A 25,118-nucleotide genomic window follows, 5' to 3' on the forward strand; every position below is an offset into this window, starting at 1 on the left:
TTTCATATGGAAACATGAGCCTGGATACCCAGGAAAGATCAAAGGTGGCCTCACGTTCTACTGTGTTCATGCTAAACTGCCACCCTGTCTAGCAACCTCTCTCCTCCAGATTCCCAGATGCACAGGCCCCCAGTTTAGCGGGATCAGGCTTTTCACAAACAAGCCCTCTGTGTTCATCCTCCCTCTGCACTGTTTCTGTGTTCCCCTCTGCCTCCCATCCCCCAGCCCCTGCAAAGAATAAGTACTCATCAGGTACCTGCCACGTGCACGGCATGGTGGGAGAATCAAAGATCCGCACTGAAGGAGCTCACAGTCTGGTACATCCCACTGGGAATGCCCTCTCCCTACCCGTGTCATATTCACAACTGACTTCCTTAACTGCCCCCCAAACCATCTGATTTCCCCCATCCTTTCTACTTTTTTTAAATTGACAAATAAAAATTATATATATTTATAGTATACAACATAATGTGTGTTTTTAATTTGTTTTGTGTTTTTGGTTTTGGGGGTTTTGGTTTTTTTAGAGACACGGTCTCGCTCTGTCACCCAGAGCTGGAGTGCAGTGGCGCAATCACGGCTCACTGCAGCCTCAAACTCCTGAACTCAAGCGATCCTCCTGCCTCAGCCTCCCAAGTAGCTGGGACTCCAGGTGCTTGCCATCACACTTGGCTAATTATTTTATTTTTTATTTTTGTAGAGATAGAGACTTGCTATGTTCCCCAGGCTGGTCTCAAACTCCCGGCCTCAAGCAATCCTCTTGCCTTGGCTTCCCAAAGTGCTGGGATTACAGGCGTGAGCCACCATGACCAGCCTACAACATGATGCTTTGAAACATGTATACACTGTGGAATGCTAGATCAAGCTAATTATCATATGCATTTACCTCACATACTTATTTTGTGTGTGTGTGTTGAGAACACTTAAACTCTAGTAATTTTCAAGTATACTATCTATTGCTATTAACCATAGTCCCCATGTTGTGTTCTTTCCTGCTTCTTCCAAGTCCTGCTCTCTGGTGGGCTCTCTTGGGTATGAGTTGATGGTGGATGTTATCTTCCCAACCACACGTAAACTCACAGAGCACAAGGACAGTAGAGTATGCTTTTGTTTCTTCTAGACTGTCTCTGTCCCACGGAAATATAACATAAACCATGTATGCCATTTAAAATTTTCTAGTTAGCACATTTTAAAAAGTGAAAAGAAACAGGTAAAAATAATTTTAATATCTTTTATTTAACCAATATGTCCAGAGTATTATTATTTCAACATGTAATCAATAGAAAATATTGTCAATGAGATATTTTGCATTCTTTCATTCATACGAGGTTTTCAGTTTCCAGTGTGTATTTTACAAGCACGGCACATTTCAGATGAGCTAGCTGCATTTCAAGTGCTCAGCAGCCAGGCGTGGCTCGTTGCCCTCATACCAGAGTATGTCGCTCACACAGGGCACATGGTAAATGTCTAATAAGTGACTGCGTTGAGTACTTCCTGGGAGGTGCCTTACACTTACATTCTAATCCTCATAGCACCATTATGAAAGAAACTGTTATGCCCATTTTCCATATGAGCAAACTGAGAGTTAAGAGCTTTCTTGCACCCAACTAGTAAGTAAGTTATAAAGTTCAGATTTGAACCCAACTCTGAGTCCAGAGCCTGTCCTAAAATAGAATATTCAAGCCCTGGAAGATTCTTTAGAAAATTATTCAACGTGTAGCTCCATAAATATCACTTGTGTTCCCAGCACCTAGTCATGTGTCAGCCATGTCCCAGGGGCTCAAATATAGTATTTGAATGAATTAATCTGATCTCACATTACAGATGTGGAAACTGAGATCCAGAAAGGGAAAGAGACTTGTCTAGATCATTCAAAAGGAGGAAGTCTACTCTAGAACCCACACTGCTGATTCCCACTGCACTACTCTTATTCCATATCCTTCTGTCATCCCAAGAAACCATAGGAGTTCAACATCTGAAGCTTTCTTTGCTTTGGGGGGAACATTTTAGCAGGCACCCTCTTCCCTTTGTCCACAACCTCAGAACTTGCCATACATCGTCCTTTTTCATTCTCTTCCTTTCTCCTTACTCTGGCTACCCAGCAGCCTAAAGGGTGGCAGAGCAGCTGAGCCTGGCTACGTGAGGCTCCAAGGAAGCCTGCACAAACAAGCAAAGCTCATTGCACGGGGGCACCACCCCCAGCTTCTATCTCAGGGTCATGCTCTGTCGTGACAACTTGAGCCATTTCCCTGGCAGGAGGGCAGCACGAATCTCCGAGAGGGTCACACTAACCTGCAGCCAGTGGCTGCCTGCCATGCCTGGATGCCTGGCATTGGAGCCTGGTTGCTGAGGCACCCTCGGGTTTGCTCAGTGCCCAGCCAGTCAGCAGCCTTCCAGGGAACTCCCAGCAGTCTCCTCCAGACAGGGTCACAAGAAATGTCATAGATTGTAGAAGCTTAGAACTGAAAGGGAATTTAAAGATCATTCATCCCAGTGCTTTTCAAACTGTAACGTCTTATAAATCTCCTGGGGATCCTGTTAAGCTACAGATTCCTGATTCACTGGGCCTGGGATGGGGTCTGAGGATTTGCATTTCTAATGAGCTCCCAGGTGATGCCAGTGCTGCTGCTGGACCCGGGACCGCACTTTGAAAAGCAAGGATCTAAGAAATCAAGAAACACAGAGGGCTTCTTTGTGAAGAGCCTGGTCCATTGAACTGGGGGCCTGTGCACCTGGGAACCAAGAGAAGAGAGGTAGCTAGACAGGGTAGCAGTTTAGCATTGATGTAGTAGAAGGTGAGACCATCTTTGATCTTTCCTGGGTATCCAGGCTCATGTTTCCATGTGAAAACCTTCCCTGTACACAATGTTACATTCTTGTCACCCCTTTGTTAGAGGTGAGAAAACTTAAGTGTGGGGGAGATTAATTAAATTCAGGGTACAAGTCTCCTAAGTAATAACTATGGTACTAACTGTATTTACTATCTGTAGAAATTTTTGGCACTCATCATAAACTACTTTAATATCCTCTCCTTCCAACTAGACTGTTGGAAGCAAGGCTGTATCTTACTCTCCTGTGTATCTCCCTTTGGTCCCACCCGAGAGGCCACATGAGCTGTGGAAAGCACATTACCTGGGACCGGGTCACCTGAGAAGATCTTTGTATCAGATGTTCCTGGGATCAAAGGCACAGTGGAATGAGCCCCAAGTTGGAACCAGAAAGACCTCAGCAGGTAGCAGACCTGAAGTGCAAGGTGAGGCTGGAAGTGGAAACAGAATGCAGGAGTTGGCAAGCTGTCCAAAGGGTCAGGTGGAGTTGTTCTGAACTCAGTCCATGGATTGAGAGGGAAGGCTGCTGGCTCACCTCATTATGTGGTGCCCAGGGCATGAGAAAGAGGCAGTGGGGCCATTTTTCAAGCAAGAAGCCAGGCCCAACACCAGGTTCCTCCCAAGGCTGTAGGATTTATTGAATAAATGCATAAAGAAAGGCCAAAAAAAACACAGCAGTGATAATTAAACATTTTTAAAGACTCCGCATGCTTGGCAATGATTACACACTTTCTGGCACACTTCAAAAGTGGCAATAGCCAGGTGCAGTGGCTCATGCCTGGGGTCCCGACAACATGGGAGGCTGAGGCAGGAGGATCGCTTGAGCCCAGGAGTGTGAGGCTCCATGAGCCATGATCCTGCCTCTGCACTCCAGCCTGGGTGACAGAATGAGACCTTGACTCCAATAAATTATAAAAGTGGCAATGACAGGCTTTTCTTTTTTCTTTCTTTTCTTTTTTTTTTTTTTTTGAGACAGGATCTTGCTCTGTTGCCCAGGCTGGAGTACAGTGGTGTGATCATGACTCACTGCAGCCTCAACTGCTGGGCTGAAGCAGGAGGCTGGCTAATTTTTTAAATTTTTTGTGGAGACAAGGTTTCACTGTTTTACCCAGGCTGGTCTTGAACTCTTGGCCTCAAGCGATCTTCCTGCCTTGCCCTCCTAAAGTGCTGGGATTATAGGTGAGAGCCGCCATGCCTGGCCAGGTTTTTCTGTTTGAGTTAAAAGTCAATTTTTCTTTTCTTTTCTTTTCTTTTTTTTTGAGACAGAGTCTCACCCTGTCGCCCAGGCTGGAGTGCAATGGCGCGATCTCAGCTCACTGCAATCTCTGTCTCCTGGGTTCAAGCGATTCTCCTGCCTCAGCCTCCCGAGAAGCTGGGATTACAGGTGCACGCCACCACACCTGGCTAATTTTTTTTTTGTATCTTTAGTAGAGATGGGGTTTCACCATGTTGGCCAGGCTGGTCTCGAACTCCTGACTTTGTGATCCACCTGCCTCAGCCTCCCAAAGTGCTGGGATTACAGGCATAAGCCACCGCACCATGCCAAAAGTCAGTTTTTCTTTAGATCAAGCTTGTCCAACCCATGGCCCATGGGCCACATGCAGCCCAGGACAGCTTTGAATGCGGCACAACACAAATTCATAAACTTTCTTAAAACATTATGAGACTTTTTTGTGATTTTTTTCTTAAGCTCATCGGCTACCTTTAACGTTAGTGTATTTTATGTGTGGCCTAGGGAAGCCAAAAGATTGGACACCCCTGCTTTAGATGTTAGTAAGTTGGGTTCTGTTCAGAGCAGACACAAAGCCAAGTCAAGCCCATAGACATGGACTGCCAAACAGGGTTGCCCAGTAGGTGCTGGAGGTCAAAGATCACCCAGGTGTATCTGTCTGCTGTGGTGCTTATTTTCCCAAAGGTAGAAAAAGAATATGATGAAACGACAAGCCACAGTCTGGGAGAAAATATTTGCAAAACACACTTCTGATAAAGGAATTATGTCCAAAATATATAAGGAATTCCTAAAACTCAACAATAAAACCAATAGTCCAATCAAAAAGTGAGCAAAAAATCTGAATAGACACTTCACCAAGGAAAATATACAGATGTCAAATAAGCATATGAAAAGATCTTCAGCATTGTATCAACAAGGAAATGCAAATTAAAACAACAACGGGATACTATTACACCCTTGTTAGAATGGTTAAAATCCAGAGCACCGACAACACCAGATGCTGGTGAGGATGTGGAGCAACAGGAACTCTCATTCACTGCTGATGGGAATGCAAAATGGAACAGCCACTTTGGAAGACACACTTTCGCAGTTTCTTTTTTTTTTTTTTGAGATGGAGTTTCGCTTTTGTTGCCCAGGCTGGAGTGCAATGGCACGGTCTCGGCTCACTGCAACCTTTGCCTCCTGGGTTCAAGCGATTCTCCTGTCTCAGCCTCCTGAGTAGCTGGGATTACAGGTGTGCGCCACAATGCCCAGCTAATTTTTGTATTTTTAGCAGAGACAGGATTTCACCATGTTGGTCAGGCTGGTCTTGAACTCCTGACCTCAGTGATCCGCCTTGGCCTTCCAAAGTGCTGGGATTACAGGCATGAGCCACTGTACCCGGCCCAGCCATATACTCTTGTGTCTGTTAACCTGTTAGCCAACCTTTGGCTACCCTCTCCCGCTTATCTTTGCTTGCCTCTAGTAAACACTATTCTAAGCCAATAGATCTTAAATGTTCTTGCACAATAAAGCGATTCTCCTGCCTCAGCCTCAGCCTCCCAAGTAGCTGGGATTACAGGCGCCCGCCACCATGCCCAGCTGATTTTTGTATTTTTAATAGAGATGGGGTTTCCCCATGTTGGGCAGGCTGGTCTCTAACTCCTGACCTCAGGTGATCCACCCGCCTCAGCCTCCCAAAGTGCTGGGATTACAGGCATGCGCCACCATGCCCGGCCAACACTTTGGCAGTTTCTTACAAATCTGAACATACTCTTACCATATGAGCTAGTAATTACACTCCTTGGTATTTACCCAAATGAGTTGAAATTGATGACTGTACAAAATCCTGCACCTGACGTAAACGTCAGCAGCTTTATTCATAATTGCCAAACACTGGAAGTAACCAACATGTTCTTCCATAGATGAATGGGTAAACAAACTGTAATACATCCATATAATGCAATATTTATCAGGAATAAAAAGACATGAGCCATCAAGCCATGAAGTGATATAGAGAAACCTTAAATGCCTCTTTTTCATTTTAAGTGAAAGAAGCCAATCTTAGAAGGCTGCATACTGTATGATTCCACCTATTTGACCTTCTGAAAAAGGCAAAGCTACAGAGACAGAAAAAAAGGTCAGTGATTGCCAGGTATTCAGGAGGAGGGAGGGAGGAATGAATAGGTGGAGCACAGGGGCTATTTAGGACTATAGCTCTACTGTTCTGTATGATACTCTTAATGGTGAACATGTGACATTATGGATCTGTCAAAACCCATAAAAGTAAACAACACAAAGAGTGACCCCTAATATAAACTATGGACTTTAATTAATAACAATGTATCAATATTGGTTCATCAGTTTTAACAAACAAATGCAACATGTTAAAAATAGGGGAAACTGTAGAGTCTGGGGAAGGGTATCTATGGTAATGCTTTGTACTTTCTGCTCAGTTTTTCTATGAACCTAAAGTTTCCATAAAAAATAAAGTCTATTAATTTTTGTAATGTGCTACCAAATTATTCCAAGAGAAGATCAGTTGCTGGACGATTGCTCAGCCACGTTTCTCCTTAGGCACAAAGATGACCTTGCACATCTGCTGCAGATGGCACCTCCACCCAGCTGTCCCCAGCACAGCATTGACTTGTCGAGAGCTGTCCTTTGAGTCTGATGGATTATTGAGACTTTTTGAATGCAGGAAGCACACTCATGGGGCCATCCAAGGGCCTTGCATTATTTTTCTGCCTTTGAAAAGCCACTGAACTAAATTTGGCAGATAAAAATATGCCTGAGAGATTTCTTTCTTAATTTGCTGATTATGAGCCCTGACCGTAAGGAGCTTACGGTCTAGAGTAGATGGTATGTGAGCATAAACCACTATAACACAAGGTAAACTATGATTCATAGTCTGGGAGAGGTACCGTTGAAGTGGGCAAGAGAGAGAGGAAATCCAGCCCCTCCCCACTGGCCTCAAGTGGAAGCAGTGACACCAGTTCTGAAAGTTTGGATTGGAGGGCCAGGTAGGAGTGAGACTCCTACCCACTCCTATGAAATATGTTCTGGGCCAGGCGCGGTGGCTCACGCCTGTAATCCCAGCACTTTGGGAGCCCGAGGCAGGCGGATCACGAGGTCAAGAGATCAAGACCATCCTAGCCAACATGGTGACACCCCGTCTCTACTAAAGATACAAAAATTAGCCGGGTGTGGTAGCAGGCGCCTGTAGTCCCAGCTACTTGGGAGGCTAGGGCAGGAGAATCGCTTGAACCTGGGAGGCGGAGATTGCAGTGAGCCGAGATCACACCACTGCACTCCAGCCTGGTGACAGAGCGAGACTCCGTCTCAAAAATAAAAAATAAAAGAAAGAAAGAAAGATGTTCCAAGCAGAGAGAATTCCATAAGCAGAGGCAGAGAGGTGAATAATTGTGTGTGCACATGCACTAGGAACAGATAGGTGGCTGGAGCACAGTGTAGAGAAGGATAAGGAATGGCTTAAAAGGCTGGGGCCAGATGGTGGAAGGCTCTGAATTCCTGGCCAAGGAATTGAGAGCATGTTCAGTAAGCAGTAGGCACCTCTGCAGGTTTGAGTCAGGGAATAAGCAGATCACACTGCGCTTCAGAAGAGTCACCAGGTGGCAGCGTATAGGATGTGCCTGAAGCACCGGGCACGGTGGCTCACGCCTGTAATCCCAGCACTTTGGGAGGCTGAGGTGAGCAGATCACAAGGTCAGGAGATCGAAACCATCCTAGCTAACACGATGAAGCCCCATCTCCACTAAAAATACAAAAAATGAGCCGGGCGCGGTGGCGGCTGCCTGTAGTCCCAGCTACTCGGGAGGCTGAGGCAGGAGAATGGCGTGAACCTGGGAGGCGGAACGTGCAGTGAGCTGAGATCGTGCCACTGCACTCCAGCCTGGGTGACAGAGCGAGACTCCGACTCAAAAAAAAAAAGAAAAAGAAAAGGATGTGCCTGAAGCAAGATGCCCAGCGGTAAGAACACCCATCAGGAGGCTACTTCAGGGCAGTTACAAGGACCCAGACAGTTGGAAGCTGTCTCTTCTGCGTCTGCACTCCCACGGCCCTTTATCAGTACTTCTCTTAGGTACTTACCAATTTTTACCTTATCTACATTTTTAATTAAAAATAGTTGTGGTTCATTATAAAGGAAAATTAGACAGTATAGAAAAATATAAATTGTAATCCCACCATCCATTAAATAACTACTGTTGACACTCAGGGTGTGTCTGTCCTTTCAGATATCTTTCTATAGGCCAGGCACAGTGGCTCATGCTTATAATCCCAGCACTTTGGGAGGCCAAGGCAGGTGGATGGCCTGAGCTCAGGAGTTCAAGACCAGCCTGGGAAACATGGCAAAACCCCATCTCTACAAAAAGTACAAAAATTAGCTGGGTGTTGTGGTACACGCCTGAGGTTCTACCTACTCGGGAGGCTGAGGCAGGAGGATCACTTGAGCTGGGAGGTGGAGGCTGCAGTGAGCCAAGATTGCACACTGCACTTCAGCCTGGGTGATAGAGTGAGACCCTGTCTCAAAAACAAAAACAAAAAACTCAGATATCTTTCTATATACATCACACTATATTGTTTTGTTTTGCTTTTATAAAAGGTAACATACTTTTAGAAACTACTTTTTCAAATTACTGTATAGTGGACATCTTTCCTTGCCAATATATCTAGATTTTTTATAGTTTTTTGTCTTCTGTTTTTTTAAATTGTGGTAAAACGTACATGAAATTTACTGTTATGACATTTAGCGCATCCACAGTGTTGTGCAATCATTACTACTATTTAGTTCCGAAACATTTTCATCACCCCACAAGGAAACCCCATTAAAGTCACTCTCTCCCACCAGTCCCTGTCAACCACTAATCTGCTTTTTTATCCATTCTATTTCTTATAAATGGAATCACACAATATGTGGCCTTTTGTGTCTGGCTTTCACTTGCCATAATGTGTTCAAGGTTCATCATGTCTAGATTTGTTAATAGAAATATCCCTTGTTGGCCAGGCACAGTGGCTCACACCCATAATCCCAGCACTTTGGGAAACCAAGGCAGGAAGATTGCTTGAGCCCAGGAGTTTGAGACCAGCCTGGGCAACATAGTGAGACCCCACCTCTATTTTTTTAAAAAAGAAATATCCCTTGTCTTTTTAAAATAAAGCATGCTCATAAAAACTACTGACAGCTCCCCTCAAGAACGCCACCTCCCTAATTTTAACTGCTGCTAATTGCCTAGGATCTAGCCATCCAGACCTTTCAGACGATTGGGAATTCATAGGGAACCGTCAAGTTGCTGCTTTCTTCCAACGTATTGTTTCCTTCACTTTCCCATCACCTGATGTGAACGTGGGAAGATGTCTTAGCTTTTCTAGTCATTTTCAGGACTTAGGTTCATTTTCAGATGTTAAAACATCCCACCTAAATCAAAACCTTGGTCTCTCATCCCACTGGCAGACCAGCTCTTCTGCTCTGGCCCTACGCTCTCTGCTCTCTGGCTCCTGAAATGTGCTTTTTTAAGTTCCCTAGAAACCCACCACCTGCGTCCTGGCCACTCCCAATGCCCCTGGGGAGGGGGTCGCATGCCCCATTCCACTGAACATTCTGCCTAACTTCTTGGGGCTGCCTTCAGTTCTCACTTTTGGCACTGTGTCCCCGGGATTCCCCTGGCCCCGGGAGGCCACCTTCTTGGGTGGGGGCCTGTCAATATGCCCAGTTATTCACTTGGCCTGTAGGAAGTCCTTAACTAGACAGGGCGCTTTTCGTATTTGTGGCCATCCTGCATCATTCAATATGTATCCCTTCTATATTTGGGGAAATTCCCACATTTAGTCCATCTACCCATGTGCAGCCAGGATGCAGCTATGTGACCTCTGCCAACCAGATGAAGCTGTGTGCCCTCAGCTGTGGAGGGAGATGTTGGTGTGAGGCAGTGACAACAGTGATGTTTTTACTGGAGCAGTGCTCAGCAGATGCTCGGTGTTGCTGACTTTCTAGGCCTGGCTTTCTCGCTCCCCTGCCCCGCCCCCCACATTCAGTGTTCTTTAAAAACTTATACTCTGTTTAAATTAACGAGTTGAGTTTTCACTAAGAACTAGCACCACGTCCTTGCTTAGCCTCACGGTTACAGGCAGCCTGCACCCACTGTGGCCCTCTCTCCTCGCCCTGCCATCGCCCACTGTGCCAGCCAGCCTGGGAGCCTGGCATGGGTTCCTCTACTTATGCACGTCTCCAAGCTCCGGGAGACACACACGAAGCTTGTCTAAGATCCTGCTCCCTGTTCCTCCGCAGTCTTTGTAGTTTGCTGGGCCGATAAGGCTCCGTAGCTTACCCAGAGGCAGATGCCAGACTCCCATACTGCACGCAGCCTCGCAGTGGCTTTCTTGGTTCTCACCTAGCTTAAGGGAAAAGGTATGCACCCCTCCCTCATCCTCAGGGAAGGGAAATGCTCACATTCTTTACTCCTAGGAATCCCCTTCAGAGACACCGTCCTGTCCCTCCCCCTCTCCTCCTCTTCACTCCCCTCCCTCTCCTCACTAATGAATCTCTAGCGTTCTCTCCTGCACCCATCCGGAGTGGGGGTTGCGGACCACCTTGACCATCATGAGTGTGTTCCAAATAGAGATGGTCTGGCATCTCTCTTTAGCAAGTGTGAGCTCTTACCACCTTTGTCCTTATCTTTAGGGCATCTGCAAAACTCTAGGACAACAGGAAAAGTCTCATTCCAGATCCTGTCTCACATATATTTTCTGTACATAGGGATTGTCAAACATATGTCATCCTGTAACCTGCTTATTTCCTATTATGTTACAGACAACTTTTCACGTTAATGAAAATAGCACATCCTCATCTATTTTTAAAAATCAGCCATTTTGTTTGAAGTATAATTTACAAACAGTAAAGCATATCTTCTTTTTTTTTTTTTTTTTTTTGAGACGGAGTTTCGCTCTTGTTGCCCAGGCTGGAGTGCAGTGGCATGATCTCGGCTCACTGCAACCTCCACCTCCCGGGTTCCAGCGATTCTCCTGCCTCAGCCTCCTGAATAGCTGGGATTACAGGCATGTGCCACCACGCCGGGCTAATTTTGTATTTTTAGCAGAGACAGCATTTCTTCATGTTGGTCAGGCTGGTCTCAAACTCCCAACCTCAGATGATCTGCCTGCCTCGGCCTCCCAAAGTGCTGGGATTACAGGTGTGAGCCAGTACACCCAGCCGAATCCATCAGGGTCTTACACTTGATGCATAAATTTGACAGTGTGTACATTTTTTTTTTCATTGACAAGCTGTTATTAAATCGACTTTTTACCTTATACTGATGGCTTCTCAGAGACAAGGTCATCACGTGCCGTACCACCATGTATACCAGCATCAAATGAAACACTACGGCAGTGCCTGAGGTGGTCAGTCATTTTGTCTTTATTTACACGTGGCAAAACTGGGCTCCGACTAAGAGACTGGCCCAGTTTTACAGCTGCCCAGTCTGGGACCATCTCCACACCCACCTCCCACGTAGCCTGGGTTGCTTATTAAGAGAGACCAAGCCGGTGTTTGGATCAGTTTGGGTCTTAGAGTGGTTTTATTATGTTTCCTGACCCTGAACGCAAGCCGTGATGAGAATATATCTGCCGTTTGTTTTGAATTGAAGGGAGATAAGAAAGGACCACTGAAGCTCTAGGAATAGACTCAGGGCTAGGCACTTCTGGAGGTGGAGAAGGATTTTGTGAGAGGAGACAAGCTGGGAATGGCAGTGGGTCCACAGGAGGGTCAGCAGAAGGAGAGGAGACTGGAACGAACTGATGCCTGGAGGTGTTTGTAAAATTAAAGAGAACTTGATTGTGGTCCTTGAAGGAGGGACATGAAAGTAGAGGTGATTTCAGGTGGGACACTTACTTAGGCCAGTGATTCTCAGGTGGAAACACAGGTTCCTGATCTCCTTGCTCAGAATCTCTAGGATGGCCCAGGAATCTGCATTTTAAACATGCTCTCCAGGTGGTTCTCAGGCCTGCTGCAGCTGGAGCCACTGGCAGATACCATTGGCCTCAAGGCCAGAAAGCTAATGCTCTTTTATGACCCTTGCCACTGACCAGATACATGCTTCAAAGTAAGGCCAGGTTACTGCACCCCTGGGAAGATCCACAGCCTTTTTGATTTTGCGGCCCACACTGACCTCCTCCTGGCTTAATCTTGTCCCATCTTCACTGAGCCACTCAGCTGGCCTTCAGCACATATCATCTTCAGTCATTATTTACATCATACTGCCTTGGGCCCTCCATTCTAATGAGATTGAAAACTTGAGGCCGGGTGTGGTGGCTCATGCCTGGAATCCCAGCACTTTGGGAAGCCGAGGCAGGTGGATCACTTGCAGTCAGGAGTTTGAGACCAGCCTGTCCAACATGGTAAAACCCCGTCTCTACTAAAAACACAAAAATTAGCTGGGCCTGGTGGGCACCTGTAGTCCCAGCAACTCGGGAGGCTAAGGCAGAAGAATCACTTGAACCTGGGAGGCAGAGATTGCAGTGAGCTGAGATTGCACCACTGCACTCCAGCCTGGGCATCAGAGCGAGACTCTGTCTCAAAAAATAAAGGAAGGAAACTTGAGGGCAAGGGTTGCCTTATACTGCTTTGCATCTTACTGCCCAGCCCTGAGCTCTGCACTTTCTAGGATCTCTGTAAATGCCCATTACCTAAGGAGTCCTAACCAATAAAATTGCCATCAGTGATGTAGAGACCTTGGTTTGCTTTCCCTCCAGTTTCTACCCTTTTGGAAGAAATGATGTTGGTTAGAAGAAAGGAAGATCCTTCCGGCATCCCAGGAGATTTACGTAGAGTGTCATCACGTAGTAGCATCATGCAGGGGGACAGCTCCGAGTGGGGAGCCTTCCATGAAGACATGGGTTCTTCAGAGAGAGGAGTTAGTGAGTGGCACTTCCTCAACTCCTAGCTTAAAGCAGGCCCTACCTGGTGCCAAGGGGCGTTGTGCCACTGGTATTCAAATGAAGCTCTGCCAACAATTTAACCCTCGTCATCATGCACAGACCTGTGATCTGTGAGGGGAGACTGACTTCCCTGGGAATGAGGACAGGAAAGCACTACACCAGAGGGGCAAATCCAGGAAATCCTGGTGCCATCTTCCCAGAGTTTCTAGTACTATGTGGGGCACTAGCCTATATATTGATATACCAGTAATTAAAAGCGAATGACTCTTCCTAAAATTCTTCTCCTTTGCTAATGATTTTTATCTACTTGGTCAGGAACGCTATCAGATTTAAGCCTGCCATATTTGTACCCACTCTACTTGCCAGCTTGTAAGTCCTGGAGTGTTGGGAGGGGAAGGACACACAAGGAAACCCAAGGTTTAATCTCAAGGTTATGCTATTGGTTTCGTTTAGGGGGTTAGGGTTTATGGCAAAAAAAAAAAAAAAAAAAAAGAAAAGAAAAGAAAATAGGGTCTCAGGGGGACTAGCTGTTGCTGAAACAATTCATAGAAATATTGTGACGGGAGCCGGGCGCGGTGGCTCAGGCCTGTCATCCCAGCACTTTAGGAGGCTGAGGTGGGCGGATCACTTGAGATCAGGAATTGGAGACCAGCCTGGCCAACATGGTAAAGCCCCATCTCTACTAAAAATACAAAAATTAGCCAGGTATGGTGGAGAGCCCCTGTAGTCCCAACTACTCAGGAGGCTGAGGCAGGAGAATTACTTGAACCCAGGAGGTGGAGGCTTCAGTGAGCCGAGATCGTGCCACAGCACTCCAGCCTGGGCAATACAGCAAGACTTGGTCTCAAAAAAAAAATTAATTAAAAAAAGAAGAAAAAGAAATATTGTGATGGGGATAGTTCCCAAACTGGCTACATATTTTCTTTTGTGTAAGGATATCTGTTACTATTTTTGCTTTTGCCATTGTCCTCCATTTTTCAGATTTTTACTACAGTGCTCTGTGGGGAAGAGGGTATAATTAAGCAAGTATTTGAACTTAAATAGTCCACAGCCACCCTTCAGAGCTTGTGATTAAGATTCTCCCCTCAAAAGGGAGCTTTCCTACTTTGCTGTGAAGTGTGAATTGTTAAAGCCCTTTACAAAGCAATTTCATTTTAACTATTAAAATTTAAAATACATTCTCTTTAGCCCAGTAATGTCACTACTGGGAATCTATTCCATGCAAATGAAAATACCAGTATATAATGAAATGTGTACAAGAATGTTTCTAATAGCACTTTTCACGGTGGCCAAAAAAAAAAATCTAAAAAGAAACCGTATCAATGGGGCAATTTTTAACTAAATTATGGATCATTCGCACCATGGAATATATTATACAGCCACTAATAAAAGAATGAATTAGAGTTTTACTACCTGACTTGGGGGAGGGGGATTTCTACAAGATATTGTCAAATGGAAAAAGCAAAAAGCAGATAAGTGTGAATAATATGTATTAAAATATATAATGAACTATTTTTATACATAATTATATAAGCACAAAGAAAAGTAAGGAAAGATAGGCCGGGTGCGGTGGCTCACGCCCATAATCCCAGCACTATAGGAGGCCGAGACAGGTGGATCACTTGAGGTCAGGAGTTAGAGACCAGCCTGGGCAACATGGCGAAACCCCATCTCTACTAAAAATACAAAAATTATCTGGGCGTGGTAGCATGCCCCTGTGGTCCCAGCTACTCAGGAGGCTGAGGCAGGAGAATTGCTTGAACCTGAGAGGCGAAGGCTGCAGTGAGCCAAGATCATGCCGCTGCACTCCAGCCTGGGTTACAGAGCAAGACTGTCTCAAAAAAAAAAAAAAAAAAAAAAAGATAAGGAAAGATACACACAGATTAACATTGGTATGTGTTTTTGCATGCATATGTATATTAAGGGAGTACAACATGAGGCAGGTAATGTGGGGGAAGCAGGAAAAATAGAAAAACAGACTCCACTAAAACATGAATTTCATGATAATCAATTTATATAAAGCTGTATATATGCATGTGTGTATATATCTGAAAAAGGAAATTAGAAAATATATAAATCTTCACTAACTGGAAGGGATGTCCATATATACTGCTGAGTGATAAAAGCAAATTGCAGGGTTGATTTTATTTTGTTCAACACAAACCCACAAATATCAGCCTATAAATAAGAGTATATGCTTGCTTAATTCTGAGCAAGGATTTCTATGCCTGGGTATTGACATAGGGACCTCAAGAGAGGATGGAGCAGGGAAGTTGAAAGATTAAGGTGGAAGCTGCAGAGAGGTTTAACTTTTATGTATTTATATATAATACAAAGATATATATACCAATATATGTGATGTAAAATGTATTATTTTATGTGTTGCAGTGGACAATTGTCTATAATGTATCAGTGCTCTATTGCCACAATAATCTCATACAACAAACCACCCTAAAAACTTGGTGGGCTTAACAAAACAAGCCTTTCTTGGTGTTCTTTTTTTTTTATTTCTTTGAGATGGAGTCTCACTCTGTCACCCAGGCTGGAGTGCAGTGGTACGATATCAGCTCACTGCAACCTCTGCCTCCCAGGTTCAAGTGATTCTCCTGCCTCAGCCTCCTGAGTAGCTGGGACTACAGGCACTCACCACCATGCCCAGATAATTTTTGTATTTTTAGTAGAGGTGGGGTTTCACCATGTTGGTCAGGCTGGTCTCAAACTCCTGACCTTAAGTGATCCGCCTGCCTCGGCCTCCCAAAGTGCTGGGATTACAGGCATGAGCCACCACACCCGGCCAAAACAAACCTTTAACAGGTGGCTGAAGCAAGGAAGGAGATTGTGCCTGCCAGCGTGAGGAATCATTAGTTAATCATTAGTTACAGAAGTTTACAGCTCACAAAACACTCCTTGATAGTCTTTCACTATTCTCACTTCTTTGATGTAAATGTCTATCTATGCATCTGTCTCTACTACTACCCCATGAGTTTTTGAGTGCTGTGATCATGTCTCATTTATCTTGATAACCTCAATGTTTAGTATAGTTCCTGGAACATAGAAGATGCTAATAAGTGACTGAAGAATGAATTGAGAAACAAACCAAAAAGCCCTTTATTTAGATCATGAGTCTGTGGGTCAGTGATTTAGGCTAGGCACAGCTGGGTGGCTCTTTTGGTCTTGGCTTAGCCTCTCTCACACATGCCTGGAGGGCAGCTGTTGGCTGGCCTTAGTTGAGGTGACTGGGGCAATGACCATCCTCTAGCAGGCCAGCCTGAGTATGCTGTCATGATGATGGGAAAGGTGCAAGAGAGGGCAGGCCCAATCATGTGAGAGCTTTCATGTTTGCTTACCATCTATTTGGACAAAGCAAGTGGATTTGCTTGGTCAACCAAATGGCCAAGGCCAACCACCAGGTAAAAGGGTAATGAAAAATTACATGACAAACAGGGCATTGATACAATGCAGGTAAAAAATGGGATCTTTTTTTTACAATCTTACCATATGTAGTATGAAAAGTATTGAAGAAAGAGGACTTTTTCCCTCCATTTACCAAAGAATAGTTACTTGCCTGGTGCCATGTAGTATTCACTGGCAAAGTTAATTATATCCGGGTTCCTAACATATTTTAGTTAATAGCATGTAAAGCAAAAGATTAATTTGGAAATTTGCAAAGTGTTTGAAAGGTGGCATTTATACTTAAGATTTGCTTGATTGAAGGAGGGTTAGAGATACTGGGACAGCCGCTGCAGCCCTAGCTCATTGTTGGTGGTTCTCAAAATCATAGATATTTTAGTTCTCCAGAAACTCTGCAGAATTCTGGAGGGAAAATGACATCAGGCTGGGGCTGAGGATTGCTTGCTGGGTGGTATTATTTTCAGCCTAGGCCAGCTAGGGGCGAGGAGCAAGTGGATCCTTTGTCTCAGTGGGGTCACTTACAGAAGTGTTTGTTAGGGAAGCTCTAAAGTGGAAAAAAGATATTGAGGGGAAGGGAAGAATTACGATAATTGTCCTTTTGGCTTTCTGAAAAGAGTAACTGAGTAATGATGGATGGTTTGATTTTGTGTAACCTTATTTTGTGTTTCCCATGCTGCATGAGACCAGTAGTAATTGACAGACTACATCACTAAGTAAGTGAAAAAGAGCAAACAATAGAAAGTTAAAGGGGTCCACAAGAGACCTTGGCTCACCTAGAGATGAAAGCCACTGTGGGCTCTCTGCCCATTCATTTAGCAGATTTGCAGCTAATAATTTTGCAATAGACTGGAGATTGGAGTGGGAGAATGCTCAGGTGTGTGATTGATTTTCTTCATTTTAGCTCCTTGTTAATGGAGTAAAATATTAGGGGGTCAAGGTAACAACAAGGAGGACCAGCATCTGTTGTACAGAAACCTTTCTCATCAAGCACAAGAAATACAACCTTCTCCTCCTGAGGGTGTGGAACATGATGTCCATGAAACATGCCAGAGCTCAGTGGCTTCCCCCTAGGAGCAGATTCTAAAGCAGGCTTTATGATGTTAGAACTGAACCTCACATGCATGCAATGCTATCTCCACGTAAAAGAACCCCAAGGTTTTGTGAGAGCACATGCTGCCAGCCACTCACCAACATTTGGCCAGTCTTGTTTAGGGACCCAGAAAGCTTATCTCAGCTGAGCCTCAGAACCACATCAGAAGTGTCCAAACCTGGTCTAGCATACAATTAGTTACCTATGCCATAGTCCCTCCCTGCTTCTTCCTTGCTAAGACAACCGAGATTATGTTTATGGAAACAATATGCCTATCCCCAAGGGATGAATCTTTTTTTTTTTGAGATGGAGTCTTGCTCTGTCGCCCAGGCTGGAGTGCAGTGGCGTGATCTTGGCTCACTGCCACTGCAACCTCCACCTCCTGGTTTCAAGTGAGTCTCCTGTCTCAGCCTCCTGAGTAGCTGGGATTACAGGTGTGTGCCACCATGCCTGACTAATTTTTGTATTTTTAGTAGAGACGGGGTTTCGCCATGTCGGCCAGGCTGGTCTCAAACTCCTAACCTCAGGTGATCTGCCCACCTCAGCCTCCCAAAGTGGTGGGATTACAGGCGTGAGCCACCGTGTCCGGTCCCAAGGGATGAATCTTGACTGGACTAGGTTCACATAGCACCCCTAACTCCCTTGGCCAGCTGCCTATTGGCCCAGGCTCCTTTGCAGCCCTGTCCTAGCTCTGCCCAGGGAGACATCAGGAAATGTTGTCTGGAGAGCTTAGAAAGATGCCTCCTGAATAAAAGATCAAAGCCTTGTAAAGAGAAAGCCTTTGATTCTTTCTTCTCGTTTGGGAGTCGGTGTGAGGATGTGCAAGCTGGAGCTGTAGCAGCCATTCTGCAACCACAGGGAAACAAGCATAAGGAATCTATCACACACAAGACAGGGGCATGGAAGGATGAGAAGAGCTTGGGTTCTCTGTACACTGAAAACTAGAAAACATTGTTGAAAGAAATTGTAGAATGCACAAATAAGTAGAACGATATCCTATGTTCATAGATTGGAATAATTCATATTATTGAAATGTCCATACTGCCCAAAGCAATCTATAGGTTCAATACAATTCCTATCAAAATTCCAATAGTGAGTTGGGTGCAGTGTCTTGAACCTGTAATCCAGGCTATTTGGGAGTCTTAGGCAGGAGAATTGCTTGAGCCCAGGGGTTCCAGACCAGCCTAGGCAACATAGCAAGACCCCCAACTCTAAAAAAAATTCAAAATTATCCAAGCATAATAGTGCGTGCCTGTTGTCCCAGCTACTCTGAAGGCTGAGGTAGAAGGATGACTTGAGCCCACGTGTTTCAGGCTACAGTGAGCTATGATTGTGCTGCTGTACTCCAGCCTTGATGATGGAGTGAGACTCTCTCTAAACAAACAAAAATTCCAATGGCACTTTTCACAGAAAAAAAAAAATTCCTAAAATTTGTATGGAACCACAAAAGACCCCAGATAGCTAAAGCAACTTTGAGCAAGAAGAAAAAAAGCCAGAGGCAGCACACTTTCTGATTTAAGCTATATTACAAAGCTATTGTAATCAAAACCACATGGTCCTGGCATAAAAACAGGCTGACCAATGGAACAGAACAAAGAGCCCAGAAATAAACCCATGCCTTTATGGTCAACTAATTGGACAAAAGTGCCAAAAATACACAATGGGAAAAGGATAGTCTCTTCAATAGAAAAACTGGGAAAACTGGATATTTACATTAAAAAAGTAATCTGAACGCTTATCTTGCACCATACATAAAAATCAAAACCCTAGAGGAAAACATATGGTGAAAGCTGCTTGACATTGGTCTTGGCATTGATATTTTGGAGGCAAAACCTCAGGCAACAAAAGCAAAAATAAACAAGCAGGAATGACGTCAAATAAAAAAGTTTCTGCACATCAAAGGAAACAACAAAATGAAAAGGCAACCTACTGAATGGGAGGAAGTATGTTTTAGCAATATATCTGATAAGCAGTTATCAGATAAGGAGTTAAAATCCAATATATATAAGAAACCCATACAACTCAATATATAATATATAAGGAACCCATACAACTCAATATATAATATATAAGGAACCCATATAACTCAATATATAATATATAAGGAACCTATACAACTCAATAGCCCTGTTAAAAAAAAATGGGGCTGGGCATGGTGGCTCACGCCTGTAATCCCAGCACTTTGGGAGGCCCAGGTGGGCAGATCACCTGAGGTCAGGAGTTCAAGACGAGCCTGGCCAACATGGCGAAACCCCATCTCTACTAAAAATACAAAAATTAGCCAGGCCTGGTGGCACATGCCTGTAATCCCAGCTACCCGGGAGGCTGAGGCAGGAGAATTGCTGGAACCCGGGAGGCAGAGGCTGCAGTGAGCTGAGATGGCACCACTGCACTCCAACCTGGGTGACAGAATGAGACTCCATGTAAAAAAAAAAAAAAAAAAGGCAGTGGGGGGGATGGGGATGGCAAAGGTCCTGAATAAACATTTCTCCAAAGGAGACACACGAATGGCCAACAGGTTTATGAAAAGGTGCTTAACATCACCAATCATCAGGGGAATGCAAATCCAAACCACAGTGAGATATCACCTCACACCTTTTAGGATGACTATTATAAAAAAGTCAAAAGTCAAAAGATAACAAGTGTTGGCAAAGATGTGGAAAACAGAGAACCTTGTGTATTGTGGTAGGAATGTAAATTGGTACAGCCAGTATGGAAAACAGTATGGATGCTCCTCAAAAAACTCAAAATAGAACTACCGTATGATCCAGCAATCCCACTGCTGAGTGGGATTTCCTTTCCTTTCAAAGGAAAGGAAATCACTATCTTGAAGAGATATCTGCACTCTTACATTTATTGCAGCACTATTCACAATGTCCAAGATTTGGAAGCAACCTAAGTGTCCATCAATAGACAAATATGTGTGTGTACACACACACACACACCCACAGACATATATATATATATATATATATATATAGTGGAATATTATTCAGCCTTTAAAAAGAGCTCAATAATATTGCCACTTGCAACAAGATGGATGTACCTTGAGAATATTATGCTAAGCCAGTCACAGAAAGACAAATACTGCACGATCTCACTTATAGTTAGAATTTTTTTTTTTTTTTTAGACGGAGTCTCACTCTGTCGCCCAGGCTGGAGTGCAGTGGCATGATCTCGGCTCACTGCATCCTCCGCCTCCCGAGTTCAAGCAATTCTCCTGCCTCAGCCTCCTGAGTAGCTGGGATTACAGGCGCCCACCATGCCCGGCTAATTTTTGTATTTTTAGTAGAGATGGGGTTTCACCATGTTGGCCAGGCTGGTCTCGACCTCCTGACCTCAGGTAGTCCACCTGCCTGGGCCTCCCAAAGTGCTGGGATTACAGGCGTGAGCCACTGTGCCCAGCCTATATGTAGAATCTTTTTTTTAAAAGAAAAGTTGAACTCATAGTAACAAGAGAGTAGAATGATAGTTACCAGGGGTTGCGGGGGGCAGGTGGTGAGGGAGAAGAGGAGATATTGGTCAAAGGGTATAAATCTTCAGTTATAAAATGAATACATGCTGGAGACCTAATATATTAGGTCTGTGACTAATAATGGTTAATAATAACCACCATAGTGACTAATAATGGTCAATAACAACATATTGTATGCTTAAATTTGCTGAGAGGAAATCTCCAGTATTCTCATTACTACCAAACAAAAAAGGTAATTATATGATGTGATCGGTATGTTAATTACCTTGATTGTGGTAATCATTTCACAATGTATACATATATCAAAACATTACAGTTTATGTCTCAAATATATACAATTTTATTTGTCAGTCATACCTCAGCTATGCGGGGGAAAAAAGAGCTTGGGTGCCACTTCTCCAGTTCTGGAATCATCTACCTCTAGTCCTTTTTTTTTTTTTTTTAATTTAAGACAGTGCCTTGGTCTGTTGCCCAGGCTGGAGTGCAGTGGCTCAATCATAGCTCACTGCAGCCTCAAACTCCCGGTCTCAAGCAATTCTCCCACTTGAACCTCCAGAGCAGCTGAGACTATAGGTGCAAGCCACCACACCCAGCTAATTTTTGTATTTTTAGTAGAGATGAGGTTTGCCATGTTGGCCAAGCTGGCCTCTTACTCCTGATATCAAGTGATCCACCCACCTCAGCCTCCCAAAGTGCTGGGATAACAGGCATGATCCACCACACCTGGCCTGAAGTCTTCATTGCCTAAGTCACTGCTAGGTATACTGTTGTTTGCAAACAAAAGTATTTCTAACTGATACACCCTATCTCTGGTTCTTCAGCTTGGTCAGCATAGCTTCTGCTAATTCCAACACAGTAGCTTTGCAACCATTTAACTTCATTTGCAAAATAGGGATAAAAATAACTACTTTACCTTGAGCAAACTTTCTGATTCAGTAGATCAGAGTGTGGTCGGTGGGTCAGCAGATCAGTATCCTCTGGGAATTTGTTAGAAATGTACATTTTCGAACACTCCAGACATACTAAATTAGAAATTTCATGGGCGGAGCCAGCAAGCTGGGTTTTAATAAGCCCTTTAGGTGATTATTCTGGTACATGAGAACGTTTGAGAACCACTGATACAGAGGGTCAAGTGGAATGGCTGCATGTCAGAAACACCTGGGAAACTTAAAGAGCTTCTCAAACTTCACCTGCAGAGTTCTGATTTAGCATTTCTGCAGTGCACCTATGAGTTTCTGTTTCCCCAAAGATCCCCAGGTGATTCAGAGTAAAACCAGGCATGGGAAACGCTGAAATGGGTATGAAAGCAGGTCATGTGTGCCATGGGGCTGTCACTCAAGTAAGAGGTGATGAACAGACCTGGGGTCCTCTGGGGACAGGTGAGTTGAATTCTGCCTTTTTTTAGGGGACTGACTACTTGATCTTAGCAGCCTTTTTCAGCCCTAAAATTCCAAGGATATTAGCTTAGGAAGGTTGAACTTGGCAGATCTCGCTGGAACACATATATGGGTAAATACATAGACTCATGACCAACAAGTGGAAGAGACTGGAATTTGACTAAAGTCTTAAAAGCAGCCTTCCCACCCACCCAGTAAATCCAAAACAGGTTTTATCTTCCACTTTTACCAGGTTTATGGAATAGCAGGTTGGCACTTCGGATGTTCATTTTTAGAGTGCTAGACTATGCCTGCTTCGTGCTAGGCTTGTGTTTTGAGGGTTATTTTGTTTGGGAAATATTATTTTTAAATAACAAACAGGCTCAGCATTCCCATCGTCATAGGGAATTTTGCCTTCTAAAATGTGCTGCTTGTTAAGGATTAAAACCTCCAGCTGAAGCCACCTGCTTATTGTCCATCTAAATATGATTTTACCATCTTTTCCTCCCTCATCTTTGCCCTTGTACCAGAGAGGCCAGTCGTTTCTTCCCCTCTCCCATATCTCCTTTCCAGGAAACTGCTGCCACTTTTTCAGGGAATCTGCTCCTCCGCTCAACCCATGCTGAGTGAATGAATGAATCCCTGGAGCTGCTTAAACAACCATAAGCACCTCACTGATCATTTTGGAAGATACCAAGATGCTAATTCATTATTTTGAAAACAAATAAAGGGGCGAAAGTTAAGCATTTTCCTTCTTTGCTTATATAAACCATACCTTAGGCTAATCCATTAACTGAGGAGGGAAAGTCTGAATAGAAGCTGACCAATGAAAAAGGGACAACAAAATTAAAATATCACCATTTTTGCAAACCTTAATGAATTAATTGATATAGGAAGCAATTATCAATGGCTGTTAGTATAATAAAAAGAGGGACAAGAAGACAATATGTGTCTCCTACTGAAGTTATGGCACCACCTATGAAATCTTGCAAAAAAATTGAACCTGAATCTGATTAAAATCTATAAACTAATTAAAATGTATAGGAAACATAGGGGACAGAGAAACATGTTAGAAAACTGCTAAGGAGGCCAGGTGCATTGGCTCACACCTGTAATCCCAGCACTTTGGGAGGCTGAGGCAGGCGGATCACCTGAGTTAGGGGGTTCGAGACTAGCCTGGCCAACATGGAGAAGCCCCATCTCTACTAAAAATACAAAATTAGCCGGGCGTGGTGGTACATGCCTGTAATCCCAGCTACTCAGGAGGCTGAGGCAGGAGAATAACTTGAACCCGGGAGGTGGAGGTTGCAGTGAGCCAAGAATCACACCATTGCACTCCAGCCTGGGCAACAAGAGTGAAACTCCATCTCAAAACAAATAAATAAACAAAAAACAAAACAAAAAAAACTGCTAAGGAAATATAATCACCATAATCCAGACTGTGGGAAACTTTGTCAGACAAATGACTCAGTTTTTCCAATTAATTGCAAGGTGAAAAATGAGGTAGAGGAAGGGGAAACCTGTAGATTTAATGAGACCTAAGAGTCATATTAATCATAATGTGTGGCCTCTTTGGCTCCTGATTCAACAAACCTTAAAAAAATATATACAGGACAAATGGGGGAAATGTAAACAATGCCTGGATATTTAATGATATAAAGAAAATCCTGGCCAGGCATGGTGGCTCACTCCCGTGATTTTAACACTTTGGGAGGCCAAGGCGGGAAGATTGCTTGAGCCTAGGAGTTCGAGACCAGCCTGGGCAACATACTGAGACCTCCTCTCTACAAAAAATACAAAAGGTAGCCGGGTGTGGTGGCTTGTGCTTTTCAGCTACTCTGGGGGCTGATGGTGGGGGGATCACTTTTAGCCCAGGAGTTCAAGGCTGTAGTGAGTTTCCGTTGTATCACTGCACTCCAGTCTGGCCAACAGAGTGAGACCCTGTCAAAAAAAAAAAAAAAAAAAAAAAAAAAAAAAAAAAACCGCCGGGTGCAGTGTCTCATGCCTGTAATTCCAGCACTTTGGGAGGCCGAGGCGGTTGGCTCACTTGAGGTTGGGAGTTTAAGACCAGCCTGGCCAACATGGTGAAACCCCGTCTCTACTAATAATATAAAAAAAATTAGCTGGGCATGGCGGCACACGCCTGTAATCCCAGCTACTTGGGAGGCTGAGGCAAAAGAATTGCTTGAACTGGGATGTAGGGGTTGCAGTGAGCCAAGATCGCGCCAGCGCACTCCAGCCTGGGTGACAGTGAAACTGTGTCTCAAAGAAGAGATTGTTGACTTGGGGATGATGATAGTTTTGTGATTACTTCTTTTAAAAGGAATCCTTCTCCTCGTTATCCTTAGAACTACATATTGAAATACAGGTGAATGAAACGGCATCTAGGATTTATTCCAAAACAGTCATGAGTGGTGGAGACAGGCAGGGATACAGAGAAAAGATTGCCCATGAGTTAATAACGTTGACGTTGGGTGGTGGGGAATTAGAGGTCCATGATACAATTCTCTACAATTGTATATATTTGAAATTTTCCTTCCTAAAAAGTTAAATTAAAAAAAATTTTTCATAATCTTTACTTCTTTTTTGTATATGTTTTATATTGGCTGTATTAATGTGGTAATTAATGTTTATTATTTATAAATACAGATTTGTGAATTTTTACTTGTTCTCCACTACTAGAAATGTGCAAAAAGTTTGGAGTTTTGTATTTTTTAAATTTGCCTGCCCAGAGAGACAGGAAGGTCCATGAAAGTAATGACCTTCCCATTATATCCCC

At 44.0% G+C, this 25,118-nt stretch overlaps 1 protein-coding gene and 1 long non-coding RNA gene across 4 annotated transcripts in view; one reads left to right on the forward strand and one right to left on the reverse strand.

The window, feature by feature from the left end:
• TMEM266 (transmembrane protein 266) overlaps positions 1–25,118 on the forward strand; it is a 144,979-nt gene that overhangs the window by 45,949 nt on the left and 73,912 nt on the right. Inside the window, exons 2-3 of one of the 3 annotated variants that reach the window (XM_047432151.1) lie at positions 3,040–3,250; positions 6,085–6,175. The exons of 1 other annotated variant lie outside the window; for it this stretch is intronic. The gene's annotated coding sequence lies outside the window, so the exon portion shown is untranslated. The remainder of the gene's footprint in view (positions 1–3,039; positions 3,251–6,084; positions 6,176–25,118) is intronic. One more of the 3 variants, XM_017021915.2, reaches the window with a different exon arrangement.
• On the reverse strand, positions 1,825–21,932 carry LOC124903531 (uncharacterized). The gene is made up of 3 exons (XR_007064723.1): positions 21,877–21,932; positions 3,130–3,256; positions 1,825–2,459 (listed from the first exon to the last, which is right to left on the reverse strand). It is a non-coding gene; the product is annotated as an uncharacterized LOC124903531 (long non-coding RNA).

The sequence above is a fragment of the Homo sapiens genome, chromosome 15 (genome assembly GCF_000001405.40).
Source record: "Homo sapiens chromosome 15, GRCh38.p14 Primary Assembly".
Classification (NCBI taxonomy): domain Eukaryota; kingdom Metazoa; phylum Chordata; class Mammalia; order Primates; family Hominidae; genus Homo; species Homo sapiens.